General features: G+C 40.4%; 1 protein-coding gene and 1 long non-coding RNA gene across 86 annotated transcripts in view, besides 1 other annotated feature; both read left to right on the forward strand.

Moving 5' to 3' along the window:
- Positions 1 to 9,252, forward strand: part of SNHG14 (small nucleolar RNA host gene 14) — a 595,855-nt gene that overhangs the window by 121,380 nt on the left and 465,223 nt on the right. The window lies entirely within an intron of this gene.
- Positions 1 to 9,252, forward strand: part of SNRPN (small nuclear ribonucleoprotein polypeptide N) — a 155,087-nt gene that overhangs the window by 121,351 nt on the left and 24,484 nt on the right. For 20 of the 85 annotated variants that reach the window (NM_001400640.1, NM_001400641.1, NM_001400647.1 and 17 more), the window contains one exon: positions 5,588 to 5,703. The exons of 64 other annotated variants lie outside the window; for them this stretch is intronic. The gene's annotated coding sequence lies outside the window, so the exon portion shown is untranslated. The remainder of the gene's footprint in view (positions 1 to 5,587; positions 5,704 to 9,252) is intronic. One more of the 85 variants, NM_001400636.1, reaches the window with a different exon arrangement.
- Positions 5,886 to 6,526: an enhancer, noted in NCBI's record as "OCT4-NANOG-H3K27ac hESC enhancer chr15:25196020-25196660 (GRCh37/hg19 assembly coordinates)". NCBI's record gives its function as "activates a minimal SCP1, AML or CMV promoter by ChIP-STARR-seq in primed H9 embryonic stem cells {active_cell/tissue: H9 hESC(primed)}" and the evidence as "EXISTENCE:reporter gene assay evidence [ECO:0000049][PMID:30033119]".

The following is a 9,252-nucleotide window of genomic DNA, read 5'->3' on the forward strand; positions in this document are numbered from 1 at the left end:
TCTACTGATTTAAATGTTAATCCCATCTCAAAACATGCCATCGTGGCACCATCCAGGTTAATGTTTGACCAAATATCTGGGTACCATGGCCTAGCCCCATTGACACATAAGATCACTATCACAGTCAGATAACAAATGTTTAGCTTTGTGGGTCATATGGTTTATGTTACAACTACTCAACTGTGTGGTTGTAGTCATAGACAATACATAAACAAATGGCTGTGGCTGTGTTCCAAGAACACTTTATTTATAGATACTAAAATTTGAACTTCATATAATGTTCACATCATAAAATAAACTTTTCCTTGGATCCTTTCCTCCTTTCCTCCTCTCCCCCTTTCCCCCACCCACCATGTAAAAAAAAAAAAAAAAAAAAAAAGTACCACAGCCAGTTGCAATGGTAGGTACCTGTGCATATCACTATGCCTGTAATCCCACCTACTTGAGAGGCTGAGGCAGGAGGATCACTTGAGCCCAGGACTGCAAGGTTATATTGTGCTATAATTAAACCTGTGATCGTGCCACTGCACTCCAGCCTGTGCAATATAGAAAGGCCCCATCTCTTTAAAAAAAAAATATACAGGCAGCAGGCAGGATTTGGCATAGTTTGCTGACCGTCAAGGGCTCTCTTTTCTAAAACATAGGCATGGTAAGAATATGTGCAAAGGCCATGGGTGAAGAGCTTTTTATTTTGTTGCTTGTGTTCCAGTTGGTGCATTCTCAAGAGTAGGTACTTTCTTTTCTTGTTCATTCTCTTCCTGAGCCTATCTTGGGATTTTCTAAGAAGGTTGCTATTAGTCTAGTCTTTTTCCAGCTGCTCCCTAGATTGAGGCGGGAGAGGAGAAATTCAGCAAAGATTTCTCTCTCCTCATCAAGGCTGTCCCTTGCCTGCTTTCCTGTGGGACAGATGGTGCATGTAGGCAAAAGGCTGGAACATGTTGGCTGCTCCTGTTACTTGGTGCTTTGAGCAGAAAGGCCTGTTGGGTTAGTTCCTGGGCTCCAGTGCTCAATGTGTGTGTGTCCTGTTTTGTGTTTTTACCCATCTTTCTGCCTTGGCTTTAGGTTTATATGTTTGCATTTATAAAAACTTCTTATGGAATAGAATTATAATGAAGAGGAGCAGCAAAGAGTTGTGGTTGAGAGCTGGCAGTACTGGAATCAGAATGCTTGGCTTGAATCTGGGCTCAAATGCTTGAGAGCTGTGTGACTTTGAGTACGGTTCTTTTCTTTTCTGGGCATCAGTTTCCTAATCTGTAAAAGGGATGGAAATAGGGCCAGGCATGGTTCCTTATGCCTGTAATCCCAGGTACTCAGAAGGCTGAGGTGGGAGGATAGCTTCAGCCTAGGAGGTCGAGGCTGCAGTGACCCATGATTGTGCCACTGCACTCTAGCCTGGGTAACAGAGTGAGACCCTGTCTCTAAAAAAAATAAAAAGAAAAGATGGAAATGAAATAGTAACTCACACGGTTTTTTTGTTTTGTTTTGTTTTTTTGAGACGAAGTCTTGGAATCTCACTCTATCACCCAGACTAGAGTGCAGTGATGTAATCATGGCTCGTTGTAGCCTTGACTTCCTGTGCTCAAGCAATTTTCCTGTCCCAACTTCCTGAGTGGCTGGAGCTACAGGCACGTGCTACCATGCCCAGCTAATTTTTGTATTTTTAGTAGAGATGGGGTCTCCCTATGTTATGCAGGCTAGTCTCTAACTCCAAGGCTCAGGTGATCCCTCTGCTCAGCCTCCCAAAATATTGGGATTATAGGCATGAGCCTGCAGTGGCCATCACATGGTTTTTATTTTTTGTTTTTTATTTATTTTTAATTTTTTATGGATCTAGTCCTGAATCCAGAACATGATTTTTAAATGAACTAATGTTAAAGTACTTAGAAAAGTATCTGCTGCATAGTAAGGATATGTGGTTGTACAATAAATAAAAATAAAGAGAGCTGCTCACATAGAGTGCAGATTTCAAACCATCTAGTCTTTCTCGTTTTATTACATTGAATTTCTGCTTCTGAATTTTTAATTTTGTTATAAGAAGGATGTTAGTCCCTCTAAAGTATCATTTCCAATATTTTGTTTATGTTCCATAAATTTTAAGGTTATTTTACTTCAAATTATTTTATAATGTATATGCCTTTTATATTTGTTTTAGTTATATCAAAATGCAGCTTTCAAAAATATTTTAGTGTGTATAATTATTTCAGATTACTATTAGTAGAAGTGCTTTTTTAAAAGACAAATATTATATTTAAGAGACCCTGCCACAAAAGTACTCCTCATGGAAGGGAAGATGGACTGGGGATGATGTGGCAGTTATACAGGGAAAACTTCACATTATTTTGTATTTAAAACATAACCTGAGGCTGGGTGCGGTGGCTCACGCCTGTAATCCCAGCACTTTGGGAGGCAGAGGCAAGTGGATCACGAGGTCAGGAGTTCAAGACCAGCCTGCCCACTATGGTGAATCCCCGTCTCTACTAAAAATACAAAAATTAGCTGGGCATGGTGACATGCACCTGTAGTCCCAGCTGCTTGGGAGGCTGAGGTAGAGAATTGCCTGAACCCGGGAGGCGGAGGTTGCAGTGAGCTGAGATCGTGCTATTGCACTCCAGCCTGGGCAACAGAGTGAGACTCTGTCTCAAAAAGAAAAAAACCAAAACAGAAAAACATAACCTAATTTTATATTTTGTTTTGTCATACAGTTGTATTTGTTTTAAAATATCTTTCCACCCCTTCCAAAAGTATTTTATCCAAGTAGCAGCACATCTTATTTCCATGTCTGGGTTGGACTTTATTTATACTTGTCTGAAACTAAGGAAAAAGAAAGTAATTTATATCAGTTAAAAGACCTCTACTTCTCAATAAGTTAGGGGGCGGAGGAATGGGTCTCAATCTACCACTCACTTTTCTGCTAGAATTTTTTTTTATATTGATACCTCCCATTCTTTTTTTATTTTATTTTATTTATTATTATTATACTTTAAGTTTTAGGGTACATGTGCACAATGTGCAGATTAGTTACATAGGTATACATGTGCCATGCTGTAGAATTTCTTAATGTTGCATCAGTGTTTCACAATGTAATCGAAAACTCAAAATAGCAATCTTCCTTTTTTATTTTATTTTATTTTATTTATGTTTTGAGATGGAGTCTCACTCTGTCGCTCAGGCTGGACAGTGCAGTGGCATGATCTTGGCTCACTGCAACCTCCAGCTCCCAGGTTCGAGTGATTCTCCTGCCTCAGCCTCCTGAGTAGCTGGGACTACAGATGCATGCCACCATGCCCAGTTAATTTTTGTATTTTTAGTATAGACGGGGTTTCATCATGTTGGCCAGGATGGTCTGAATCTCCTGACCTCGTGATCTGCCCGCCTCGGCTTCCCAAAGTGCTGGGATTACAGGTGTGAGCCACCGCACCTGGCCTCAGAACAGTTTATATTTAAAAATTATTTCAAAGATAGGAGAGAGTTCCCATGTGTCTCATATGTTTCCCCTATTAACATGTTACGCTTGTTTCATTGATGTACCAATATTGGTACATTTTTATTAACTGAAATTTATACTTTATCCAGATGTCTTTGGTTTTTCTAAAATACCCTTTTTCTGTTCCAGGATCTCACCCAGGAAATCACAGTACAGCTAGTACTCATGTGTCTCAAGGTTGTTCTTGGTTGTGACATTTTCTCACTTTGTTTTGATGACCTTGACAGTTTTGGGGATTACTGGTCGAATGTTTGTAGAATGTCCCTCAATTAGGGTTTTTAAAAACTGATTTATAATTCACATAGTATAAAATTTACCCTTTTAAAATATATAATTCAGTGCTTTTGAGTATATTCACAACGTTTCCCAACCATCCTATGGTTGGAAAATTAGATAACCTACTAATTCCACAAAATCCAGAATATTTTGATCATCCCAGAAAGAAACCTCATAACCAACAGCAATTACTCTCCTTTCACTCCTCTCCCATCCCCTGAAAATCACTAATCTGCTTTCTGTCTATATGGATTTGCCTATTCTTTTTTTTTTTTTTTTTTTTTTTTTTTTTGAGATAGAGTCTCACTCTCTCACCTAGGCTGGAGTGCAGTGGCGCAATCTCGGCTCATTGCAACCTCCGTCTCCTGGGTTCAAGTGATCCTCCTGCCTCAGCCTCCTGAGTAGCTGGGATTGCAGGCACGTGCCACCACACCCGGCTATTTTTTGTATTTTTAGTAGAGACAAGGTTTTGCCATGTCGGCCAGGCTGGTCTTGAACTCCTGACCTTAGGTGATCCACCTGCCTCGGCCTCCCAAAGTGCTGGGATTACAGGCGTGAGCCACCACACTTGGCCTGGATTTGCCAATCCTTAACAGAACATATAAAAAGAACCATAAAAACGCCTGACATGTTGCCTCATGTCTGCAATCCCAGTACTTTGGGAGGCCAAAGTGGGATGATTTTTTGAGTGTAGGAGTTGGAGACCTCTCTGGGCAACATAGTTAGACCAGGTCTCTACAAAAAAATAAAAAAATTACCTGGGCATGGTGGTGCATGCCTGTAGTCCCAGCTACTAAGGAAGCTGAGGTGGGAGGATTACTTGAGCCCAGGAGATGGAGGCTGCAGTAAGCCATGATTGTGCCAATGCACTCCAGCCTGGGTGACAGAGTGACACTCTATCTCAAAACAAACAAACAAAAAACCCCATAATATGTGGCCTTTTTCTGTCTAGCTGCTTTCACTCAGCATAATGTTGTCAGGGTTCTTCCATGTTGTTTCATGAATCAACACTCCATTCCTTTTTATAGCAGAATGATATTCCATTGTACCATGCCATAGTTGTTTCCTTTTTCTTTTCTTTCTTTCTTTTTTTTTTTGGAGAACGGGTCTCACTCTGTTGCCCAGGCTAAAGTGCAATGGTGTAATCATAGTTCACTGCAGCCTCAACCTCCCTGGCTCAAGCAGTCCTCCCACCTCAGTTTGGGTAGCTGGGACTAGAGGTGCACACCACTATGCCTAACTAATTAAAAAAAAATTTTTAGTAGAAATGGAGTCTTGCTATCAGGGAGATCTTGGACTCCTGAGTTCAAGCAATCCTCTCGCCTTGGCTTCCAAAAGTGTTGGGACTGCAGGCATGAGCCATTGCACCTGGCCTCACATTTTGTTTATTCATTCATCAGTTGATGAGCATTTGAGTTGTTTCCAGTTTTTAACTTTTTTTTTTTTTGAGACGGAGTCTCACTCTGTCACCCAGGCTGGAGTGCAATGGCAGGGTCTTGGCTCACTGCAACCTCCGCCTCCTGGGTTCAAGCGATTCTCCCACCTCAGCCTCCCAAGTAGCTGGGACTACAGGTGCGTGCCCTCACACCCGGCTAATTTTTGTATTTTTAGTAGAGATGGGGTTTCACTGTGTTGGCCAGGCTGGTCTCGAACTCCTGACCTCGTGATCAGCCAGCCTCAGCCTCCTAAAGTGCTGGGATTACAGTCATGAGCCACCACCAGTTTTTTAGCTATTATAAATAAGGCTGCTATGAAAATGCATATACATGTTTTTGCATTAAGATATGTTCTCATTTCTTTTTTTTTTTTTTTTTTTTTTGGTGACAGGTTTTGCTCCATCACCCAGGCGGAGTGCAGTGGTGCCATCACAGCTTACTGCAGTCTCCACCTCTCAGGCTCAAGTGATTCTCCTACCTCAGCCTCCCGAGTAGCTGGGACCAGAGGTGTGCAACACCACATTTGGCTTTTTTATTTTTTATTTTGTAGAGACGAGTCTTGCTATGTTGCCCAGGCTGGTCTCGAACTCCTGGATTCAAGCGATCTGCCTGCCTCAGCCTCCCAAAGGATTGGGATTACAGGCTTGAGCCCCTGTGCCCGGCCCCTATGTTTTCCTTTTTTTTTTTTTTAAATTTGAAACGGAGTCCTGCTCTGTCGCCCAGGCTGGAGTGCAGTGGTGCAATCTCCCTCACCGCGACCTCTGCCTCCCGGGCTCAAGGGAGTCTTTAGTCTCAGTCCCAAGCAGCTGGGACTGCAGGCGCCCGCCACCATGCCTGGCTAATTTTTGTATTTTTTAGTAGAGACAGAGTTTTACCATGTTGGTCAGGCTGATCACGAACCTCCTGATCTCAGGTGATCCACCTGTCTCGGCCTCCCAAAGTGCTGATATTACAGGCGTGTGAACCACCGTGCCTGGCCGTTTTCATTTCTTTGTGATCTGCTTAGGAGTAGAATTGTAGGTCATATGGTAACTTCAGGGTTAACATTTGTAAGCATTGCCAAACTCTTCCACTGTGGCTGTGCTGTTTCACATCCCAATCAGCAGTGTTAGAGGGTTCCAATTTCTCCACCTCCTCCACAACCCTTGTCATTGTCTTTTTAATTCTAGCCCCAAGTGGCATCTCATTGTGGTTTTCATTTGTACTTCTCTAATGACTTAACGATTGTGTCTTTTCATGTGCTTATTGGCCATTGGTATTTAAGAACTATTTTAATCCTTTGCCCATTAAAAAAAAATGTTTTTGTCCTTTTATTGTTGAATAGTAACACTTTTTTTTTTTTTTGAGACAGTCTCACTCTATTACCCAGGCTAGAGTGCAGTGGCGTGATCTGGGCTTACTGCAATCTCTGCCTCCTGGGTTCAAGGGATTCTCCTGCCTCAGCCTCCCGAGTAGCTGGGACTACAGACATGTGCCACCATGCCCAGCTAATTTTCATACTTCTAATAAAGACGGGGTTTCACCACGTTGGCCAGAATAGTCTCGAACTGCTGGCCTCAAGTGATCTGCCTGCCTCAGTCTCCCAAAGTGCTGGGATTACACTTATGAGTCACTGCGCCCAGCCAAGTACTAACACTTCTTTATACATTCTGGATACTACACTCCTAGTAGCTTTATGTTTAGCAAATATTTTCTCCCATTCTCTTGGCTGTCTTTTCACTTTCTTAATGTCCCTTGAATCGAAAACTTTTATGTAACTGTGATGAAGTTCAGTTTATTTATTATTTTTGGTTGCTTTTGTTTTAGGTGTCATATCTAAGAAACTGTTGCCTAATTCAAGGTTACACGGATTTATATATATACACACATATATTTATACATGTATACATAAGTATACATGGAATATATGTGTAAAATATACACATACACAAATGTTATATATCACATTTATACATAGGTATATATGTGTACCTGTATACATATATAACATGTATATATATGTTCTATAACAAGTGACTTATATTTTATTGATCTATTTTGAGTTAATTTTTGTACATGGTATGATGCAAGGGTTCTGATTAGTTTTTCTAGTCTCCTTTGTCTATTCTGTACAGAATAGTTTTATTGCAGTTTTAGTGTCCTTTAAGTACATAACCTTAAGTGTTTGGCTTGGGGATAAATGTAGACTTTGGGAAAATTGAATTGTTGGGAGACCTATCAGGGTCTACTAGCATGTCATAGTGGAGTTTAGTGGCAATGTCTCCTTCTCTGTATCTTCACTCCCCAGTTGTAGGATATGTTGAATCAGACCTATTATTAACTAACATAAAATATAAGTGAGCCTAATGGCAGTTCTCTTTAGATTTTCTGTAAAGCCCAGGACACCCATTGTGACCTCTCAGACTCCAAAGCGAATTTCCTAATGGAGTAGAACAAACAGGAAATTATGAGGAAAGGCAGTCAGAGTTTGAAAAGAGAACACACCAGAAACAATGGAAGATAGGTCCAAGAAACTAGATAAGTGCGAGTTGAGAATTGAATATAATTTTATTTAATTTTAATAATACTTTAATTGTAAAAGTAATTCATAATCACTGCAAAAAGTACCAAGCACTGTAAAAATTAAAAATACAAAACAATCTCAAATTGTGACAGCCAAGAGAAACCTAAAGAAACATGATTATAATGTTTGTGGCATGTAAGTTTGGTGTCCACAATGGAAAAAGGATATTAGGAAAAAAAAGAAATATAAGATATAGAAATTAGTTAAAACAATGAGAATAAAAAATGAACACCCAATTCCTGCTCCTAGAAGAAGTAGTACTCTAACATTTGGTGAAGTTCTAAGAGCCAACATTTTTACCCAGCTTATACTAGGACCTGTTCTAAATAGTATTTTAGCTCATTTAATTGTTAAGCCATTGTATAAAGTAAACAGAATCCCTTCTTTTGTTACAGATTAGGAATTTAATGCACAGAGGGTTAGATAACTTGCTCAAAGTAACATTGTGGTCAAGAGTCAAAGCTAGAATTTGAATCAAAAGAGCCTGAGTCCAAAGGCATGGTTTTCATCACTGGACTATAATGGTGTGTATTCTTTCATAATTTTTTCAGTGTAAAACTGAACATACAGTATGCTTTTATTTTATTTATTTTTTTGAGATGGAGTCTTGCCCTGTCACCAGGCTGGAGTGCAGTGGTGTGATCTCAGCTCACTGCAACCTCCGCCTCCCACGTTCAAGCAATTCTCCTGCCTCAGCCTCCCGAGTAGCTAAGATTACAGGCATGTGCCATCACGCCCAGCTAATTTTTCTGTTTTTTGTAGAGATGGGTTTCACCATGTTGGCCAGGATGGTCTCGATCTCCTGACCTCGTGATCTGCCCACCTCGGCCTCCCAAAGTGCTGGGAATACAGGCGTAAGCCACTGTGCCCAGCCTACATTTTATTTTTCGATTGACTCCCGTGATCAGAGTCAACTTCCCATGTTATTTTATGTGAATATGTATCAATGAACTATTAGAAATTGCAATGTTTTTGTAGGTCAAAACAATTCAATATTGACAATTTTATATGATTCAGCCTAATACATCATTTTTTCCATCAGCCATATTGCATGTTATTATTTATATATACGTTTATTTAGTTAGCCTATCTGTTCTCTGTGAGGAACATTACACAGTTTCTGAGATTTTGTTACGATAGAAGTCAGCATTGATAAGCCTCTGCGCACCTGTTTTAATGTAGGATCATTGGGAACTGAGCAGTAGCTTACAGGGCTTGGGAGGGGATTTAACCATTTAGTCAACCTCCACTCACATCACCCTCCCTTCTTCGATAATGGGCAATTGAGAAAGGGCAAATGTGTGTAAAAACTATGCAGATGCAGTTTCAGGATTATTTTCTTCTTTTCTGCAGTGTCTTTTCCCAAGCTACATCAGCGTCTAAATTTTGGAGTTACTGATGCTTCCGTTATTTCTGCAGATAGAATATTATGTCGTAAATAATGTTTACTTGTCCATTAGTATTATATAAAAGTGCCTGTTTCTCCCCACTCC

The sequence above is a fragment of the Homo sapiens genome, chromosome 15 (genome assembly GCF_000001405.40).
Source record: "Homo sapiens chromosome 15, GRCh38.p14 Primary Assembly".
Taxonomy (NCBI): domain Eukaryota; kingdom Metazoa; phylum Chordata; class Mammalia; order Primates; family Hominidae; genus Homo; species Homo sapiens.